Source organism: Homo sapiens, chromosome 9, assembly GCF_000001405.40.
Source record: "Homo sapiens chromosome 9, GRCh38.p14 Primary Assembly".
In the NCBI taxonomy this organism is placed as follows: domain Eukaryota; kingdom Metazoa; phylum Chordata; class Mammalia; order Primates; family Hominidae; genus Homo; species Homo sapiens.
Window position 1 is genome coordinate 110446455 of NC_000009.12, and position 22902 is coordinate 110469356.

Consider the following 22902-nt stretch of genomic DNA (forward strand, 5'->3'; position numbering starts at 1 on the left):
TTCATGAGCAATTCAGCTCTGCCCCAAACCTGCACAGACCACTCAATAAAACAAGTCTTACAGCTAAAAGACTCCAGTCTCCTGAGAAAGTATTTAGATTTGATCTGCTGATTCTCAAACATGTCCATGGAGTCTCACCTCTGAAGTCAAGCGGCTTATCAAAGTATCATTTCTATTATAAATAAGTAGAACATGAAGAGTTCTACTAAATTCAATTTTCTCTATTTCCCCCCTAAATTTTTAAGCTTTAATTTCATCATCTGTGCCACTGAGGATAATAGTAGTAGTACCTAGTTTGTTGGATGGCTGTGAAGATTAAATGAGTACAAAGTGCTTGGCATCGTTTTTGGCCTACGGACACTGCTTGGTGCAGGCAAAATTGGTATTATTGTTATTATATTACTATTGTTAGTATTGTTATTAATAACACTGAGTTGATACATACCTGTTTCACACCTTTTGCCTGAAAATCCTGGCTGACATTTACAACTGTATGAATTTAATTCATCCACACAGGTGGCCTGATTTCTACATGGATTAGACTGACATTCATTGATGTTCAATTCACAGTGTGATCCTGTGAAGCCAGCTGCACACAGGCATCTGAAAGAAAACAAAATGTTGTAACAATTAGAACAGTTGTAGGAAGTCTCCCATTTATGATAATCTTATCTCGAAAGACTTTGAAAATTGAAATGCTGGAACACATTTTCTACACCAAAACAGTGCTTTAATTGCAGGTTACTTTTTCCAGTTCACTTGATTAAATCTATGTAAGACAAGATGTATTAGAAATGTGCAGTAGCAAAAATAAAGTAGAAAGTAGTTCTGGTACAGGTGAAATATAATTCATACATTGTGGTTTCTCTCCTCATAGGAGTTCTCAGAAAAATATGAAAAGTTCAAATGCTGTTCTAAAGGCTTTTATATGTTAAGCCAATTTTCATAACAATGAGGTAATACTAGTATTATTCCCATTTTACAGATAAGCTAAACTGTGGCTCAGAAAGATTAAAGAATTTACCCAAGTTCTATTGCTACCAAGTGGTGGAGTGGGGTTTTGAATCAACCTATACTCTTTTTCTTAATCAGGATGCTATATAGTTTCTGTGCTATGCAACAAACCATTTTAAACTCATCAGAATGGAAAGTATATCTGGTAATGTCAAATGTTGACAAGAGTGTCATAAAATAGGAAGTCCCATATAGTGAGTAAGACTACAATTTGGCAATGTCATGAGAAGTTGAGAGTTTGTGTTCCCAGAGCCCTATAAATCCATTTCTTGTTTTCTGCTCTAGGAGATAATTGCACAAGGTGCACAGGGACCCATATAACAAATGTTCATAGCAGGATCATTCTAAATGTCTATGGAGAGGAGAATGAGAAAATGAATCATGGTGTAGTTAATTCCATCATGTAATGGAATACTAAGGAGCAATTGAAATGAACAAACCAAAGCCAAATGTAACCTCCTTGATAATACTTGAAAATATCATGCTGAGTGGAAAAAAAAACCGAATTGCAAAAAGAATATGTATGTTATGATACCACTTATGTAACATGTAACTTATATACTGTTTATAGAAGTCATATATGTAGCAAAATATAAAACCTGAATAAGAAAGATATATTCAGACTGCAGGACGGTGATTACTGCTGGGGGAAGAAAGTGAATGTGTGTGTGTGTGTGTGTGCGCGTGTGTGTGTGCGCGCGCTCGCGCGTGTGTATGCATGTGTCTATGTTGGAGGGAATCCAGCCCTACCTTTAAAACTTACGTCTTTAAAACAGAAGATGTGAATCAAATATGGCAAAATATTAAGGTTTGATAATCACAGTGATCAGTACATGACTTTTATTATTGTAATTTTCCGTGTGACTGAAATATTTTGTAATTTAAAAGGACTGGTCCAATAAATGCGAGTTAATGTTATTGTTACTAGCATGTCATACGAAGACCTCTTTGATATTGACCTAACAGTGTCTAATAGGAATAACTGGTGTTTGGAGGATGTAAACAAAATCTCAGTTGGAATTGAGGGATCTTTACTGGGTCTCTGCATTTGACGGTAAATCTATTTTGACTATAATTTCACTCACCTTTATCCTCCTGTGTTTGGTGTCATTACAACACTATCATATCCTCATCTATGAAATAGATTCACTTTGTCAACAACCTATGTTCCTTCTGAATTGGGAGCGTGTACCTTCACCTTTCTTCTAGTTAGGATTTAGACAACTTTGGTATTCATCAATCGTTTTAAACCCAGGAAAGAGTTTAGAACTCTTGTTGTTCATCTGGAAATTTCTCATTGTCTACAGTTATGTACTATATGCCAGAAAATGTCAAACACCCATGAGAAAGTGATGCTACATGATAAGACCTCATTTCCACATTGTAGGTGAAAGTCTCATTGGCAGAGTTGCCTTCTTATTTCTTCTGGATAGCGCCTTGGCTGTTTGTGGGAGGATGGTAATGGAAGGGGGCTGAACTAGAAGAAAGGGGATTGGGAAATGTTGCAATTGGGCTAGATCTTTTTTTTCTTTTTGGTTTTTACTTTTGCAAACTTATAAAACCAGCAGCATCTTGAGGACAATACAGTTTTCTAAAATTTTGCAAGCAAGAGAAATCTATCTTGTATACTACAGATGTGCTGTCTTCTGTACTTCCCTGCAAAGAGTGGGGGATGGAATGGGATAGTCTTGATAATGACAACAGGAGAGGGTTGTTTTTCAAACTGTATTCTACTGGCACCTAAGAGCTGCCTCAGGGAGACATAGTCTTTCTGCCCCTCAAATACTACTATTTTCAGCCACAAAAGCTTAGCTTTGATTATTTTACTTTTTTACATTCATGTTAGATTTCTTTTGAACCAAAGGTTACTAAACTAAAAAAAAAAGTTTGAAAATCATGGACATAGAATAAAGATGAGCACTATCACAGTATGATTGCAGATTCCATTTTGATTTTATCTGGTATAAAAACTTTAGCTAAAGCACATGTGGCTCATCTGAGGCCAGGAGTTCAAGACCAGCCTGGCCAACATGGTGAAACCCCGTCTCTACTAAAAATACAAAAGTTAGCCAGGCGTGGTGGCAGGCACCTGTAATCCCAGCTACTTGGGAGGTTGAGGCAGGAGAATCGCTTTAAACCGGGAGAAAGAGGTTACAGTGAGCCGAGATCGTGCTATTGCACTCCAGCCTGGGAGACAAGAGCAAAATTCCATCTCAGAAAATAAAAAAATAAAAATAAATAAATAATTAAAATATGGGCTTTGTCTAGTACTACTGTATTTGCTTCTGAGTAATTATATTTCATCTTTTATGACTTCCCAAGTATAGAACGTTAGTTCCCAAACATGGCTGTGCATCAGAATCATTGGGAAACTTAAGCCATAACAGGTTGCCTATTTTAAAATGATAGGCTCTACTTCAGGCTTAGTGAAGCAGAAATGGCGGTGGGAATATTCAGCTGTAGCCTATCCTCGGGCCAGCATTTGAGAATGACTGACTTGAGACTCAAAGCAATACTCCATAAAGGCTGCAGAATCACTGAATAGTTTAAAAAATAAAAACAGTGAAAAGAATCAGACTTAGCCTTTTACCTGAAGCTATTGGCACCGTCTTTACAGGTAGCTCCATTTTTGCATGGCTGACTGAGACACTCATCGACGTTCTTTCCACATCGGGTACCCAAAAATCCAGGTGGGCATTTGCACAAGAATCCCCCAACCTGGTCTTCACAGACTGCATTATTTAAGCATGGGTTTGACTGGCATTCATTGACTTCTGTTTCACAATGCAGGCCTGAGGATGGAGAAGGAAGAGAAACAGCCCAAATGATTAACTCCCTGGGAACACTGTAACTAAAGTGTTGACTCCCTGGAGGATGCTGCTTCTAGAGGATTGGAATGGAGGCTGTGGAGCCCATCAAACTGGTTTGAGATCCATTCTGTAATGGGCTCTGGCTTTTGTAAGTCATTTTTTTGTGGACTCTGAGTTTTTGATAATCTGTTTTTTTTTTTTTTTTTTTTGAGACAGAGTCTTGCTCTCTCTCCCAGTCTGGAGTACAGTGGCGCGATCTCGGCTCACTGCAACTTTCACCTCCTAGGTTCAAGCGATTCTCCTGCCTCAGCCTCCTGAGTAGCTGAGACTACAGGCACCCACCACCACACCTGGCTAATTTTTGTATTTTTTTTTTAGTAGAGACAGGGTTTCACCATGTTGGCCGAGGTGGTCTTGAAATCCTGAGCTCAAGTAATCCACCTGCCTCGGCCTCCCAAAATGCTGGGATTACAGGCGTGAACCACCATGCCCAGCCGATAATCTGCTTTTTTAAATCTTACTTTTTGTTGAAATTAAGTTTGGTAATAGACATCTAATTGAGATAATGTTAAGAAATAAAGCTAGTAAATTCCATTCAAAACTTGCCTGTTTCTTTGATCTTGCCTTTTTCCTTCACTGGACACTTTCTTGGATTTACTCTTTAGAAATTAAGCATACACTTTTAAACCATATTATTGTACATCTGTTTGCAATATGATATTACATGATTTGTCTCCAGTTCCTTCTTGAAAGTTTGCCTTTACACACACACACCACATACACAAATTATTTTTTGCTGAACCATTTGAGAGTAAATTGCAGACCTGCATGCCCTTTTACCCCAAACCCCTCAGTGTGTATTTCCTCAGAAAATGAGGACTTTCTCTTACATAATCACCATACAGTAATAAAATCCAAAAATTCACATTAATATATATGTTAAGAAATGTACTAATTTGTGGTGGTTTACAAGATTTTAAGACAACATAGGAAGACTGGAAACATCTTACCTACAAATCCTTTCACACATGTGCAACGATAGCCAGCCACACCATCAACACAGATTCCTTTATTTAAACAAGGACTGGAGCTACACTCATTTATATTTTCTTCACACCGCTGACCTGCAAAGAATCATTCATCTTTGAGCTGGAGAAAACTTGACAGAACTTTAAGACCAATAGTTTCCAAGCAAGTTGTTCAGGCATTGGAATAGGGAAATTGGAAATCATGGCTAACATGTTTGTGACAAACATGTTGAAATAAAATGTTTCTTCTATTCTGTGAACTGCAAAATTTTTCTAGCAAGAAACCTAACATATTCAGCATGCAATGGAAAATGATAACCACGAATATCTGACCATATTTTTTTTAGTGAAAAAGATGTGTGATTTTGTTTTAAATTTTTTCTCCTTATTTGTTTGCTAGTTGTTCTCTTTTTGAGTTTATTCCCTTTAGAGTTAAGTGGTAACAGTTACAGCATTACAGTTACAAAGTTGGCAAAAATTATGGGAGAAATATATTGAATGAAGAAAATAACTCATTTTCTTCTGCAAATTAGGGAAACACAGCCAAATTTCTGTGCAGCTGTCCCATGTTTTGTGTGAACATAATTTGGGAACAACTAATGTTATTCATAGCCTTTATTTTACACATCTAGAAACAGATCCAAAGAGGTCTGTGACATTGCCAAGGACAGGCACAGAAATGAGCCTAGAACCATAAATCTTCATGTTCAAGAAAAGACGTACAAAGACTCGTTGGGTTGAAGAGTTCAAGGATGCTTAAATTTATAACTCATGGCATTATGTAACACATATCTAATAATTTATGTACCTTGACATTAAAATATGCTAAAAGGAAATTTCATAATAAAGGTTGTTTTTTGAGAACAGTAAATCTAACATAAAATCTACACTTTCATACAGACCATTATGAACACTTGTTTTTTCACAGTAAACCCACAAAATAAATTTAATGTCTAATAAATAACATACATAATACATTTCACATCTAGTAAATGTATATTTATTTTATTTAGAAACTTGGTTCTACTTTTCTCATAGTATGTGTCTGCCATTCTTGTCACAAGTTTTTACTATGATTCAACACCAGGTGTCGCTAATATGAGATTTGGAATTTTAAATAAAGAATTGTAGGATACAGGTGCATAATTTTAATACTGTCTAAGGAAATGCAACCATAGGCAGACGGTGGAGAGGAAAGAGCATGAGAAAGAAAATGGAAACCAGGCAAGCAATCTGGATGTGGTTCCAGCTGTTGAATACACACCCTTGGTTAGGGGTGATGAGTCTGCTGGTCTGCAGTTGGTCTCACAGCATGTGGACCTCTTAGAATATAAGCTGAGAGAAATTTGTTTCAAGATATGTGTGATGTGGCCCCTAAATGCAAGCCACACGCTTTGGTGTTCATAAGATAAAAATGATTTCTTCTGTTGTTGAGGTAAAATAGGCATATTTCTAAACAGCATGCCTGTCCACTATAATTGATAGAGTATGCTATCACTTTATCAAGTGCAATATCAAGTCCACTCTACTTGATGGCTTATTTGAAGGATTTTCAAGGCAACTTTGACTATTTAAAATGTCTCCCTATATATAAACTTTCAAATTACACTTCCAGATGAAATGCAATTTTACTGTATAAACTCAATATATCTTTTCATAAGCCTGGGACTACCAGTGTTGCATGGATGTGAAATAGAGAAAATATATGAGTTGTTCCAAATGATTACTACTGTAAGTTATGTTAAACATTTTTATGTCTTTATGGAAGTTGTTTTTAGATACACAATAAAATTATTAGAATCTGGTTCCTTTGAAATGTTATCAGGATTTTACTAAACTTTTTAAAATATAGAAAATTATATACCCACACATATTAAAATATATATTCAGATATCTTTTTAGTATAATAATGATGAGTTAGGTACAATGCTGGATGATTTAGATGATCTCAGTACTCTCCATAATAATATTATGGGGTCATTACTATTTATAAAGTAGTAAATCCTAGTCTATTTTATTAGAATATATCATCAATATTATAATAATTATAATGTGGGTTAACAAGGGAATTGAGAATAAGATCACTGTTTCTGAACTATTTTTGTGAGAAGGTGCTGGAAGCTGCGACTCTTAAGATATACACTTAGAGAAATCTCCAAACTGCTTTCCAGAGTGGCTGAACTAATTTACATTCCTAAAAAAGTATATAAGTGATCCATGTTTTTCTATAACTTGCCAGCATGTGTTATTTTTTGACTCTTTAATAATAGCCATTCTGGCCAGGGGCGGGGTGGCTCAGGCCTGTAATCCCAGCACTTTGGGAGGCTGGAGTGGGTGGATCACTTGAGGTCAGGAGTTCAAGACCAGCCTGACCAATATGGTGAAACCCCATCTCTACTAAAAATACAAAAAATTAGCCGGGCATGGTGGCATGCGCCTGTAGTCTCAGCTACTTGGGAGGCTAAGACAGGAGAATTGTTTGAACTTGGGAGGCAGAGGTTGTAGTGAGCCGAGATCATGCCACTGCACTCCAGCCTGGGCGACACAGCGAGACTCCATCTCAAAAAATACAAAAATTAAAAAAAAAAAAAAGCCATTCTGACTGGTGTGAGATGGTATCTCACTGTCGTTTTGATTGGCCTTTTCTGATGATTAGCGATGATGAGCTTTTTTTCATGTTTGTTGGTTGCTTATGTGTCTTCTTAGAGAAGTGTCTGTTCATGTCCTTTGCCCACTATTTAATGAGGTTATTTGTATTTTGCTTGTTGATTTGTTTAAGCTCCTTATAGATTCTGAATACTAGGCCTTTGTCAGATGCATAGTTTTCAAATATTTTCTCCCATTCTGTAGGTTTTCTGTTTACTCCATTGATGCTTTCTTTTGCAGTGCAGAAGCTCTTCGATTTAATTAGATCCCACTTGTTAATTTTTGTTTTTGTTGCAATTGCTTTTGGGGACTCAGCCATACATCCTTTGCCAAGGCCAATGTCAAGAAGGGTATTCCCTAGGTTTTCTTCTAGGATTTTTATAGTTTGAAGTTTTACATTTAAATCTTTAATCCAAGTTAATTTTTGTATATGGTGAAAGGCTGGGGTTCAGTTTCATTCTTCTGCGTATGGTTGGCCAGTAATCCCAGCAATCCCATTACTGGGTATACATCCAAAGGAAAATAAATTGTTCTACCAAAAAGACACATGCACTTGTAAGTTCATCCCAGTGCTATTTACAATAGCAAAGACATGGAATACACCTAGGTGCCCATCAATGGTGGATTAGATAAAGAAAATGTGGTACTTATACATCATCGAATATTATGTAGTCATAAAAACTCCACAAAATCATGTCGTTTGCAGCAACATGGATGCAGCTGCAGGCCATTATTCTAAGTGAATTAAAGCAGGAACAGAAAGCCAAATACTGCATGTTCTCACTTAAAATGGGAGCTAAACATTGAGTACACATGGAATAAAAATAGGAACAATAGATGCTGGATACTATTAGAGGGGAGAAGAAAGGTGGTGTGGGCTGCAAAACTACATATTAGGTACTATTCTCACTACCTGGGTGATGGAATTATCTGTACTCCAAACCTCAGCATCATGCAATATATCCATGTAACAAACCTGCACTTGTACTCTCTGAATTTAAAATAAAAGTTGAAATTATTTAAGTCATAAATAAAGACAAAGATTTTGAATGCTAAAAAATAAGATAACACTTAAATATGTATTTATTTAAGTTAAAAGGAGAGGCATAGTGGTCCATAACAATTTCAAGGATACATGCGCCTGAAGTCCACAGTTAGTAATAATTATACACACACATATTCACACACACACATGAACATCCACAGAAATTGGCATATACACTTCATAAATTCAGTAAAATACTAGTAAAAAGCTTGGGGATGACCTTGTATTTGTAGTAGGCTTTACATATTTTCTGTCATTTCCTCACCTCCATTTTTACTAATGAAGAAACAGGTTCAGTGAAGTTAAATGTCTTGTCCAAGGTCACACATCTAGCTGGCAAAGATGGGAACACGCCTGCTTGTTTTATAAAGCAATTACATACTGCCATATTGATATCTTGTTCTCCTTACATAACCGGAAAAGGACAAGAACACTTTCCCAATGCAAATAAGTAATATTAGAAAATATGCTTCTTCAATATGTTTATAATATTCTATAAATGTATCTTTGACACATTCCAAATTTATCTCAGTGATGAAATGTTAATGATTCAAAGATTTATATTGTTGAAAACAGGAGACCTTCCCCTTACCTGTGTAACCTGATGGGCACTCACAAATGAATTCCCCAACTAGGTCTTTACAAACTCCATTGTTGAGGCAAGGCAGTGGGCTGCACTCATCGATGTCTGTTTCACACTTTAAGCCTACAATGTAAACCAAATGCTGAGGGACAATCCAAGGATGGGATTAACCGAAATAGAACTATGATCATTTAAAGGTAATTATCTCAATAATCAGAATTTTTAAATGGGTAGTGGTAAAGGGTAATATTCATTAAGTGCTACCATCTATTAAGTATTTAATGAAGGTAATACCTCTTTCTAAACAAATTTAAGATATTCTTATAAAGATACATAGGAGATAGCAAAAGATCCCAAATTAGAAGTGGGGTAGGAGCACTTGGAAGCATAAAATGGAGCCAGGAATTATGCTAATTTCAAAGTGAAAGTTACAATATCATCTGTATGTGCTACCAAGGTCACCTGGCTTAGGGGTGGAGGTGGGGCTAAAGCCTGCCAGATCACAGCTCACATGCCAGGTGTCCCAGAGTGGCTGCATCTTCCCACAGGGTGCACACAGGCTTTCTATGGGCTAGCTGTGCTGGAAACCCATATTCTTTCTCAGGGTCCTCCTCACTAGCATCAGCATTACCTGGGAATGCAATAAAAATACAAATTCTCAGGCTGTACTCCAGACCCACTGAATTAGAAATTCTGGGGCTGGAGTCCAGCAATCTGTGTTTTTAACAAGCCTTCCAGATGATTCTGATGCACACGACTGTTTGAGAACCACTGTCCTATATTATACCCTTTCTCAACCACCACTCATTTACAGAATTCCCAAACAAGATCCTTTATTTCTTATGGAACGTCAAGGTAAATATTTTTATAAAAATCCACAGAGACACACATGCACACAACACGAGCCAGCTATAATAAATGGGATGCCAATATTCTAGATAGATCTTGGCTATACTTTGTTTTTTGACTTTCCTTTTGCTTATTTTGTGGTGAATTCCTTTACTTAAATACCACTTCTCATGAAAAACTTTCAAGTTGGTTGTATAACATTGAAAAAAACTGTCTAGAAGAAAATGATTATTTTAAATTAATTGCAATTTTAAGGTATAGTTCATTTCCCCTCAAAAATTATGTTTCTGGACTTAAGTCAAATGTGAACCAAACTGTTAAAAACCCCCATAATTCATACGTAATTCCTACATAATAAAGCCCAAAGCCAAATTGTTTTCTAAGCACAGCTTCCAGAAAGATAGAAACAAAGCATAGCTATTCATAAGAACTTCTATTAGTGTGTAGCAAATCAGAGAAGCTGCCAGTTCATTTAAAAATGTTTATACTGGACAATCTGTTCTATGTTGAGTATCATGCATATAATTTTTGATAGAATGAAACTTTGAACATGACCCCTGTATTTCAATTTAAATTGTGGGTTATGACAAAGACTCATAGGGAAGATGAGTCTTTATTCTTTATCCAAAATAGGCAAAGAAAACTGTCATTTGTGAAGTATGTATAATTTTTTCACCTATTGTTTATCTTGTTCAACAAATTTTGGCACATTTACATGGTCTAATGTATCTTATCGGATATAGTTAATGTACTAAAGTTTGATACTGCAAGTCATAATGATTTCATATAAAATATATTAAAATCTACATTCCTCTTGGTTATTTACCTGTATATCCAAGTGGACAGAGACAAACATAACCACGCCCAAGTTGCTGGCAGGTTCCACTATTGTGGCAAGGGTTAAAGAAGCATTCATGGAAAACCTACCAGTAGCATAAAAAAATCAATCAGAGACAAAGCACTCTATTTATTTCAAAGCAGTCCTGATTAGAGTCAGGTTTGCAACATTAGACAGCTCGTTCCTCCTGTTTCCAGGTAAGTTCACTCAAGCTAGGTGGCTTGCTGCCTGAATAACACTGGTGCCTGCCATATAGGGGAGCAAATGATATATATCATTCTTGGGTGATGTTCTGGTAAACCTAAGGAGTGTTTCTAAATGTTGGCTGCATGCTAGAATACAATTGATATTTTGAAGGCATACTAAGGTCAGGGCGTCAACCCAGATTAGCTAAATCAGAATCTCTGGGAGTGAAGTCTGTACATTACTGTCTTAAAAACTTGGCCAGGATTCTAATACACCTCCATGTGACAGCCACTGCTTTAGGGGATCCTACAAATTCCTATGTCCACTAGGCTCAGTTTGAAATATGATTTATAGAGTCCTAACAAGTCATTATGTTTGGACTAGGCTGTAGGAAGTTGTAATCAGAAAAATATCCCCATTATCCATGAAAATACTAAAAGGCAAGGAATTCATGACATTGGACAAGGTGAGTTCAGAGTAATGACTGAATCTATTAAAGTAACCAAGACTTAACAACTAGTCTTGTAAAAAATATAAAGCATTTGGTTTAGCTATATTCTTAATTTATGTTTCTTAATTTTTAAGGACTCATACTTTTCCCCAAGAAATCTTTTCTTTTCTGGCAAAGAAATTTAAATAATTTTCATGAAAGTTGGGTAACTCTGCCTGCCAATTAGAAAAGGCCTTTCCTTAAACCAAATTCTCTTACTCAAATGATGGGTTGTGCTTGTGGTAAGTGCTTATAGTGAATCAAAAGGCTCCCCCTGGATCTACTCATTCTTATTGCCAGGCATTTCTGGGAAAAACTCTCATTTTTGGTACTTAGAACATCTAATGTTGCATTTTGGGAATGTTCTAAACAGGAGTCATTGTAAATACAATTATTCATTTATAAAATTCATACATCTTGATTACTTAAAGTTTCAATCCTGGTCCTTTTCCTGTGTGTGATGTGTAAAATGACAAATTGCTTTCCAAGCATTCCACTAGAGAACAGTTTATGCAAAATGAACTTGCCTGACTGCTGATTTCATGCCTCTTTTTAATATGTCCAAGAGAGGCAGGGGGCACCACACTTTCCTCTGCCGCTGAGAAAGTTGAACTAAAACCTAATCAATTAATAGAAAAACATGTCAGTGTGGCAAATATGCCAGTAAGTGGACTATATCTAACACTATGGTCAAGATTCTGGTTGTCAGAGTGGGTAAAGCCACATATATTTTGTTTCACTTATATTTTAAAAAAGAAAACAGAGATGGATGGCATACATCATTACATCCTAGACTCTTAGAAAGAAATTTAGAAGTTATCAAGTTCAGTGTTTCCAAAACAAGACTCTTTGTGTCATGGTCATCAAAAATACCTCAGAAGGACAATTTAACAACTCCAGATGCCCAAATCCACCGAAAATAGTAATATTCAGAACTGAAGCTACAACAGAGACAGGGAAAAGTAAATGTCCAACATAGGATTACATAAGAAATGAAGTTCATCTTACTTGAACATTCTGTGATGGATCTGGAACCAGCGAATGGGGTAGTTCCATAAAAGGGACAGGCCAGGCAGAAGGCCTTCCCTGCATTAGGTTGGTAATAGTCACGAGGACATGGGTGACAGGGCATTAACCCAGAACGCGAGAATTTTCCTTCTGGACAAGGAACTGCAGAGGTAAAAACAAATCATATGTGCATATAAAGTAACACACCCTACATTTGAAAGAAGTGATTTAATCTGTGCATATAAGAAACCTACTGAATTATCTATATAATCTCTTCCATATATTTAATACCCATACCATCTTATCACCCAGGTAAATGTTTTGTTGGGTCTCCTTCCTATCTTTAGTAACACATGTTAACTTAATAAAGTTTAGAATTGGCCATATAATTGTATTCTGATTTTTCCACCTAACATGGTATCATAAGTGTTTCCCAAATCATTCCCCCAGATTATTGAATAGTATAGATTTTAATAAAATAAAAATGTTGCATCTCATTGACAGACCATGATTGAGCTAACTTTTCTACTATTGGATATTTAGATTGTTTTCATTTGTTTGCTATTATAAATAATGCTGAAGTAAATTTTTTGCATAAATCTTTGTATTTAGCTCTGATTATTTCCTTGGGATAATAGTTGACTTTGGGTAGTTGAATTAGAATAATTGGATTTGAGTAGTTGAATAGTTAGGTCTAAAGATTTGAAAAGATTAAAGCCATTGATATATAGTGCCAAATCATTAAAAAAATAAGTAGTTCCAATTTATACTCCCATTAGTAGTGTATGAAATCACTCTTTTCACTACATGCTCTTCAGCATTGGTATTATTAAATTTTTTTTCCAATTTGAGGGTGAAAACGGAATTAGTTATTTTAATTTGCATCTTGATGATAAATGAAGTTGCTTTCTTCTGCTTATTAGAAATTTTATTTCTCCTGAATAGTCTTTTATGGAGGTTTTTTATGATTATTTTATATATTAAGAATATGAATCATTTGACACACTTAGACTAATTATTTTTGCCAGTTTGTGCTTTGCCTGTTAATTTTAACTGCTTTCATGACCAAGTAATTATGACTCCTCCTTATTTAATACTACAATAATATAAGGTAATATATTTACCTATGAGACGTTCAGCAAAATCAGTAGTTTTATCGTTAGTATTTTTATTGGCTATTTTCTAAGTAATATGAATTGTAATTTGATTTTTTGACACAATTATTTTTCAGAAAGATGGTTTAAAATGTATAAATATTTGGAATATGCTTTAATTAATTTCTGTTTTTAATCATCTTATGGTCAGATAATTTACGTTGCATAACTAATTGCTACCTTTTGAATTTTGAGTTTTTTTGTTCATTATATCTAAAGATAAAAATAAATACTTCATTAAAAGTGTTATCACAGTAGAGTAAAAAGTATAACGTGTATTATTAGTTCAGCCTTATCAATCATGTACTATAAGTTTTCTGTGTCCTTACTGATTGCCTACATGATCTTTATAAATTCAAAGGAGTGGTGGGGTATGGTGGCTCATGCCTGTAACCCCAGCACTTTGGGAAGCTGAGGTGGGCGAATCACTTGAGGTCAGGAGTTCCAGACTAGCCTGGCCAAAATGGCGAAACACCGTCTCTACTAAAAGTACAAAAATTAGCCAGTGTGGTGTCAGGTACCTGTAATCCCAGCTACTTAAGAGGCTAAGGCAGGAGAATTGCTTGAACCCAGGAGGCAGAGGTTGCAGTGAGATGAGATGGCACCCACTGCACTCCAGCCTGAGCAACGGAGTGAGACTCCGTCTCAAAAGAAAAAAAAAAAAGAAAATTCAAGGAAGGTATTAAAATCTTCCATGAAAATTTTATTTTTACAATTTACCATTGTGAGACATACAGATTTTGTTGTATTTTACTGCTGTTATTTGATGACAAAGCTTTATTATGACTAACTTATACTGCTTGTGAATTACGTAAAAATAACTCTTTTCTTCCTCATGTGATGCTACTGGGCTTTGAATTGAACTTTTTCATAAATTCCCTTTACCACCCCTACTTGCTTGTTTTTTGTATTCGTCGGTCTGGAAATCTTATTATTTTTAACCTTTCACTGTCATTTGTGTTAGGCTTTTTGTAAATAACATTCATTTGAGAATTGTCATTTAACCAAATCTGAAATTCTCTTGCCATTAACGAGTGGAATATTAACAAAACTAAAAATGGCCTCAAACATAAAACAAGCTCGGGTTTTCCTCCATGATGTTTTGTTGCATTTAGCAGAGGGCAGGGGGACAGAGTACTCATGACTTAACTCTTTGGTTGGGGTTTTAGACAGCAACCCAAGTATGAATTCAGGTTGGGTATGTCCTTTCCTTGGATAAACTGGCATCATCTGGATAGCTTTAAAGCCATTATAAACTGAGAAAACTATTAAAAATACTAAGACTTGTCTGCATAAATGTAAGTATGGAAGACAGAACACAAAAAGTAGCTACTCAGGATGTCAACATCCTTATCATTTAGGGTTTGGTGTCCTTACAATAAAAATAGTACAGCAGAGATAATTAGTAGTACGGTTGAAAAATTTAGAGATGGACTGAGGTTCAAAGGAGCAGGGTATGCCATGTCATAGCATCTTTTTTTAATTGATTTGAGAAAAAACAAAGCATTTGTGATAATCTCAAGACATGTAGATCAAAATTTTAAAACAAAAATAGCCAAATTTTTTGCTAAAGAGCTCTTTTACCCAATTAACAAAAGAGCTCAATGAAGAGATGGTAATTCAATCAAGAGATGGCAGAAAATATCATAGATTTTTATGCAAATTTAGAAAAAATATTTCTTGCAGGTTTGGTCTTTACATGCATAAAATTTACATTTTTAAACTGTATCTTTATTTCACTAAGAACAAGCTAATTTACTCTTTGATTGATAGATCTCAGAGTGCTAGGTAGAGCTCTGTTATTCGCACAAACTGTAAACTTGCTTAGCTTAAAATGGGTTTCCTCAATCTCAAGTTTCCGAGAGTGACTGCCTATTTGGAAAAGGTAACTTACACACAGCTAATTAGTTAACAGAAAGCATCAATCTTCTGCTGGTAAAAGTATAAAACTTTTGTTTGAGAGAATATCTCTGAGTATGTATGAAATGCTGAAAAGATAAATTCCATCAGTAAAACTCAAGATGCTATAATGAATTAAACTTTTTTTACATATAATTTTCAGCACAAAGATGCTCAAAAAGAAAAGATGTTTTTGCCCCTAGAAACTAACAGAAGGTAAAAAATTGTACTAAGATGTAATAGTAATAAAATACTAACATTAAAAATAAATCTATTAGCTTCTAAAAATACCCAACTCATCATTGTAATGTCTATACTTTTTAGCATAGAAAATATAAAATAAATTTGCATGTGCAATTTTATTAGTTTAAGTTATTGTCCAAGGGCAGACAGTTGTCTTCAGAAATATATTTTCCTGCAGTGGTCAATTAGCATTTAATAGAGTATTTATATATGTAGTAAACATATATACACACACACGCATATATATGTATATATAAACATACACATATACATAATAGTGGCACTATCTAGTATGTAATACAATACTAAACATGTACATGTACACACACACATAAATACGCAATTCCTAATGAACTAGTGTCATGAGAAAAGAGGGGTGAATGTTTCATTTTGATTCTTGGCCAAAGAAACTAGTCTCCCGGTCAAGAAAAATGCAACAAAACCCTCTTTTCACCTCCTCTATTGTAGACAGAGAGACAGAGAGAGAGAGAGAAATAATCTAAGTATGCCAAAATGATATTAAAATCAAATGACAAACAGTGCATGGAAATGACCAGGAAAAAAATGTCATATCACTTGTGCTGTTCTCTGACAGTGTTAAGGGCAACACATATAGACCTGGAGCCAAGTGGATTTTGCCTTTTCAATGGGTTTTCTGACTATGATTAATAATACTATATTGTATACTAGAAATTTGCTAAGAGAATTTCAGGTTCTCTTACCACACACACCCAAAGAAGGGCAACTATGTGAGATGATGTATATGTGCATAAGAATATCATAACATCATTTTGTACACCTTAATTATAGATCATTTTAAATAAATAAATCAGTTTCCTAAGATGAGGTCAGAGGTCAATGACTTCCTGAGCCTCCTTTTAACTTCATCCTGGAGAGTCAGGGTAAAAGGTGGTGTCATCCTAGTCTAAACATCATCTTTTCTTCTCCTATAGATCATATATTAACAACAACAACAACAACAACAACAAGTACCTGTCGAACTTATTCTTCTGATAAAAATCATTTTTAATGAATGAAAAATTTCAGACTCTTGAGTGTGTACCTACAAACCCAAGAATATGTAATAACCTAACAAGTTATAAAAAGTAAAATGTACAAAGAATATATTACTTTAACAAACTAATATACTTTGTGATACTTAAATATGATTGCTATCTTGAATAATAATATTTTAAGTGCCACATGATAGAGAAATGCAAAAGCAATGTCTTAGCACAAAATAAAACAGTACACTATAAAAATAAATCAATACTGATAGAAAATAAATCAGTAATAAAAATAGTAAATCAATACCAAAAGAGAAAATAAAGAAAAAGGAAGGAAAGAAAGAAAGGAAGAAAAAGGAAGGAAAGAAAGAAAGGAAGAAAAAGAAAGAAAGAAAGGCTGATGAAAGAAAGAAAGGCAGGCGAAAGAAAGGCAGGTGAAAGAAAAAGAAAGGCAAAAGAGAGAAAGAGAAAGAAAGACAAAAGCAAGCAAGCAAGAGAAAGTGAGAAAGGAGTTAAAAACTAACAAAAAATATATATAAGGGACCGTTTTAGAACTTGCACACATTTAAGTTTAAAATAAAATGTTTATCCAGCACCGCAGAAGAATGTTAACTTTTGTCATTCCTAATTCCCACTCATGACAAGCAGAGTGTGGTTAAACTTATGCTAGGAATATTAGGAGAGTAGGGCCAAAAATTTAGAGACTTTTTGGGAATTATAACTCCTTAATTATAATAATTTAGTATTAGACAAACCTCAAGGTTTATTTAGAAAGCTAAAAAAAAATTGTCAAATGTGAACTTGTTTCACTATAAAAATCCTAGTTGCTTTTGTGGTTGGAGGAAGTGGGCAGGAAGAGAGAATTTTTTACTGTGGACTTTCTGCCAAAATTATTTCTTATATTGACAAAAGAGTCTCTAGCAGATCTATTTCAATCAGAATGTGAAGGCTTGTGAGACTTTTAATTAAAAGATCCAAAGCTGGTATTATCCAACAGACATGGTTTATGCGTTTCAGTTAGGCCCTAAATTTTCTTCTCAACTCTTCAGTGAAACTATTAGGTTGATGAATATTACTTGCCCAATGCCTCAGGTCTCAGACTTATATCTACCTTGATCCTACTAGACTGAGATAATTTAAACAGATGGAGTATATATAAACCTATAATTCAGAGTGTGTTTTGCCTGTTTCCTTTTCTCCCAATGCACTTATGAGGACTACAACTTCCAAGATGCAATGCTGGAAACGCCCCTTCCTGCCCTTGCACATTAACTTTTCCTACCTCTTGTTTACTGGTGATCTCTCTCTAACTGGATGAAGTTAAGCATGGCTGGGTGCAGTGATAGTAGGAAGTGTGCCTATGTGTCTCTGTGTAGCCTGAGAGAAGTAGGGAACCAGTAGGTTGGCTTCTTAAAAACATCATTCAATGTGGGAACAGCTTCTTCATTTCTCAGTTGCCATAGACCTTAGGTTTTTAAATAAAACTATAGAGGTAGGATACACAATTAAAAAAGAAATCTTTCATCAAGGAATGTTTGTTCAGTTCCCAGTGAGTAGCAGAGGTAGGCCAACAACAACCTTTTTAGTCCAGTTCTATTGACTTTGCAAATTACAGTAGTTGCAATTTTTTGGAATTTCTGGAAGTAGGCTGACCTTGACTGTCAGTCCTAATTTCATTGTCATTCTAAGTTTTCATCTTTTGTTTCTGTTTACATGTTCATGAGTATTTTGCTGGAAAACATCCCTCAGTAGGGATGTTAGTCAGAAATACTTAAAAATTGGAACTCTAATCTTTTTTTTTCTATTTAAACCAGTGGTTCTCAATGTGTGGTCCCTGGACCAGTAGAATCAGCATTACTTGAAACCATTTGTTAACAGAAATATGAATTCTCAGACCCCTCCCCAGACCTACCGAATCAAAGACCCTGGAGGTAAGGCCTCACAATCTGTCTTAAAAAGCTCTCCATGCTGACATTTGAGAACCAAAATTAGTGGCTCTCAGATTTTCCTAATCACTTCAAATAATCACCTGGGGAAACTTAAAAAAAAAAAAAGAAAACCAATTCCCAGCCTCTACTCAGACAAGTTAAATCAGAATCTCTGGGAGAGAGGATCAGGTTTCAGTATTTTAAAAATACTCATGTAAATGTGAAGATGATTCTAATGTGCTGCCTGACTGAATAACTACTCACGAAAACCTTCAACTCGTAAGGAATGAAATTCATAATCCACAGAATAAAATATTTTTAGAGTTTCAAGAAACACTAGACAGAACTTCACTTTATAAAGGAGGGAATGAAGTTCCTAGTTTAGATATATTTCTACCATATCACGAAGCCACATGTTTATTACTGTATGAGGCCTGGGACCAAGTCTTGTACTTCTTTTGTGTTCCTAACCCAGCCCGGTGTTTACACGGCAGGTATTTATACCTAAGTGTTAACTGGCTGAGAAAAGAAACTAAACAAACAAAAAAACCTCTTTATGAAGAGACAGTTATTTCCATTCTGTGCATAGAGTAGATGTATGTTTTTGCAGAAAATATGCCACTCCTTCATGCATAGAACCTAGTAGGTTTAAAGAAATATCAATGTCTAAGGCTTTGATAACCTCCACATGCAGAAATGTTCACGGCTCCTCTTTTCACAGTTGAGGTGTTTTCTGGACACGAGAGGCAGCTCCGGGAACCAAATTTTGGCTGATAAGTGCCCAGTGGACACGATTCACAAGTCTCAAGTCCACTGTATGAGTAGGTGCCTTGTTTACACTGAGCTGAAAAGAAAAAGGTAATATTACTATCAATAATGATATTAAGCTGCATAAAATTAGTACTGTGCGGGATAGGGTTTTCTGCATTTTAGTTTAGGACAGAAGGACAGAATGAGGGACCCAGAGAGCTCTTTCTCCTGTTAGCTAAGCATACGCATATTGTGGCACCACCATGCTTCTCTATACTAAGTTTTAGACTGTTTCCATTTACTTCCATTATGACCTTTTACAGTGTTTGACGCATAGAACACGTTCAATAAATAGTTGTCGAATGAAGTTAGAAATACATAGCACAGAAGGACACTATGATAGGAACAAGTTGTACACTGGGAATTTGTTCATGTAGAAGTTCTCAATACGTACACTGTTATCCTGCGTGGCAGAAACAAAACCCCAAACCTAGCTAGAGCCTTATAAACTACTCTGAAATCTCTGCTTTAAAAAAGAACTGGCGGCCGGGCACGGTGGCTCACGCCTGTAATCCCAGCACTTTGGGAGGCCGAGGCGGGCGGATCACGAGGTCAGGAGATCGAGACCATCCCGGCTAAAACGGTGAAACCCCGTCTCTACTAAAAAAATACAAAAAAATTAGCCGGGCGTAGTGGCGGGCGCCTGTAGTCCCAGCTACTTGGGAGGCTGAGGCAGGAGAATGGCGTGAACCCGGGAGGCGGAGCTTGCAGTGAGCCGAGATCCCGCCACTGCACTCCAGCCTGGGCGACAGAGCGAGACTCCATCTCAAAAAAAAAAAAAAAAAAGAACTGGCTGCTCTAAATAAGAACCGGCTCTGCTACCTCCTCCTACCTAGACACGCCATTTCATCCAAGGACCAGTGGGGAGTAGAACATAAAAGCAGACATACCTTCATGCCCAGAGAGGTGAAGCAACTTGCTATAATTCATAAGGATGATTTGTAGAAGAACAGGACTTTGGCCAGATGCCCTGACTCCCAGAGTACTGGCCTTTCTTTCTGCTTTTGACCTCCAAACAACTCTCCTTTTCACCATTGCTAACATGTTTAGCGCATTTCCAATTACGTAGCACTGCTCTAGAGTTTATATCAGTCATTAAACACCCACACCTGCATGCAGAACTATGGCAAAGAAGCACACTTTTGAAATTCCTTATTTTAGGCATGTCTTGCTGGTAGCCTTAATTATGAGAGAAAACGTTTCCATCAGGAACTCTTACTGAGAATAATAGTGAAAATATTTTGAAAATATTGAATATTTTAGCAGCAAGAATATGTGCACATGTGCCTGTAGTTATTCATTTCCAAGTAAACTGAGAACTGATCTCATCACATCAGACACTATTCTAACAAAAAGCAATCCAATAACTGCAAAGTGTCATGAGACTTCTTTCCATTAATTGATGTGAGATTCAAGAACAGAATCCAGCTGATAGATATAGTTTGGATGTGTGTCTCTGCCCAAATCTCATGTTGAAATATAATCCCCAGTGTTGGAAGTGGGGCCTGGTGGGAGGTGATTGGATCACGGGGGTGGATTTCTCATGGATGGTTTAGTATCGTACCCCTGGGGCTGTTCTAGTGATAGAGTTCTCGTGATACCTCGTTGGATAAAAGTATGTGGCATCTCCCCTGTCTTTTTTACTTTTTTTTTTTTTTTTTGAGATAGGGTCTTGCTCTGTCCCTCAGGCTGGAGTGCAGTGGTGCGGTCATAGCTCACTGCAGCCTCCACCTCCCGGGCTCAAGCAATCCTCCCACCTCATTCTCCTGAGTAACTGGGACTACAGGTGTGCACCACCATGCCTGGCTAATTTTTGTATTTTTTGTAGAGACAGGATTTTGCCATGTTGCCCAGGCTGGCCTTGAACTCCTTGGCTCAAACAAACTGCCTGCCTCAGCCTCCCAAAGTGCTGGGATTACAGGTGTGAGCCACCATATATTCCCCCCTCCCACCCCAACCCCCTGCCTTGCTCCTACTTTCTCCACGTGACATGCCTGCTCCTTATTTGCCTTCTGCCATGATTGGAAGCTAAGGCCACCCCAGAAGCAGATGCTGCTATGCTTCCTGCATAGCCTGCAAAACCATGAGCCAATTAAAACTCTTTTCTTTATAAATTACTCAGTCTCAAGTAATCCTTTATAGCAATGCCAGAATGGCCTAACACACCAGGCTAACTGATGAATGTGGATTGGAGTTTGACTTAGAGACAGCAATGGAATATTTCCAAAAGGAAAGCTAAATGGACTTCTTTAAAGTGGGGGAAACAGGTAATATTTTATGTTTAAAAGAAAGAAAAAATAAATAAAATTGCTTTCTGTATACTATTGTTTCATTTTATTTGCCATTTAGATTTCAGGACTGTGATGGGGCTTAGAACACCCTACCCCTAAATATCATACCTTGCCTTGGCATACTGAATATTTCAAGCCGAAGGAAATTTGAGAAAACCATAGAAGCAGGAAAGTGTCTCTGAACTTCTGCCTTTCTTTCCTTTAGGAGATCATAAAACCTAGAAATAATTCTTGGACCTTCCCCTTTGAAGCAGACTGTAAAACCCTCATGTGAGAAATGCCCACCCTATACTCAGAGGAAAAGAATATTCTTAGCCCTGAAGATACAGGGATACATTGAAGAATCTGAACAAACAAGACTTGCTAAGCTCCACCTAGCTTATTCCCAATAGGTCATTCTACTCCACAACTATCCTCTTCTTTATCCAATTTAGCATAAAAATATACAGGTTTCCCTGATTCATTTCTGGAGGCTCCTATGTCACCTAAAACTTATATTGAATAAATGTGTATGCTTTTCTCTTGCAAATCTATCTTTTGCCACAGGGGCCTCAGACAAGAGCCGAGTGTTGGGTGAAGAAAATAAATCTTTCTTTCCCCCAAAAGGGAAACAAAAATTGGGCTGCTTCTAGTTGAAATGTCCAGTAAGCCTCTACCTTTACAATCAGAGATGTTTCTTGAATGGATATATTCCGTGTACATCCCAGAGGGGCAAAGCTTGCACTCAAGTTGCCCTTCTTCATCTTGATAGGATCCGATCCGGCAGCTTTCACAGGTGAAATGTTCCAGATTATAATAGGTTCCCAAAGGGCAATTGACTACAGAAAAAGCAAACAGGAAACACTGAATAAACTACAACGGTGGAACACACTGGGCTTTTTTTTCCTAAGACATGAAAGTAATAAAGCATGCTTGAAGGTGCTATTGTTTATGGGTTAAATTTTATGGCCAGAGGCTTATTCACAAGGTAAACCTTTCAGAAATATATTCCCAGAAACCAACAGTAAGACATTCGTTTATTTTTTAAAGATAAAGCAAATTCTTATTGACCAAGCTTAAGGCTTATATAATGG

General features: G+C 36.3%; 1 protein-coding gene across 1 annotated transcript in view, besides 1 other annotated feature; it reads right to left on the reverse strand.

Moving 5' to 3' along the window:
- Positions 1–22902, reverse strand: part of SVEP1 (sushi, von Willebrand factor type A, EGF and pentraxin domain containing 1) — a 214494-nt gene that overhangs the window by 81207 nt on the left and 110385 nt on the right. The window contains exons 17-25 of the mRNA NM_153366.4: positions 22486–22647; positions 19411–19572; positions 12498–12659; positions 12017–12108; positions 10802–10898; positions 9136–9249; positions 4835–4948; positions 3605–3806; positions 446–603 (exon numbers count right to left, since the gene is read on the reverse strand). Of these exons, the coding sequence (NP_699197.3) occupies positions 446–603; positions 3605–3806; positions 4835–4948; positions 9136–9249; positions 10802–10898; positions 12017–12108; positions 12498–12659; positions 19411–19572; positions 22486–22647 (1263 nt within the window). The remainder of the gene's footprint in view (positions 1–445; positions 604–3604; positions 3807–4834; positions 4949–9135; positions 9250–10801; positions 10899–12016; positions 12109–12497; positions 12660–19410; positions 19573–22485; positions 22648–22902) is intronic.
- Positions 19279–19448: an enhancer, noted in NCBI's record as "experimental_105134 CRE fragment used in MPRA reporter constructs". NCBI's record gives its function as "activates a minimal promoter by MPRAs in K562 erythroleukemia cells, with activity observed for the introgressed 9:113228098 variant allele {active_cell/tissue: K562}" and the evidence as "EXISTENCE:reporter gene assay evidence [ECO:0000049][PMID:34662402]".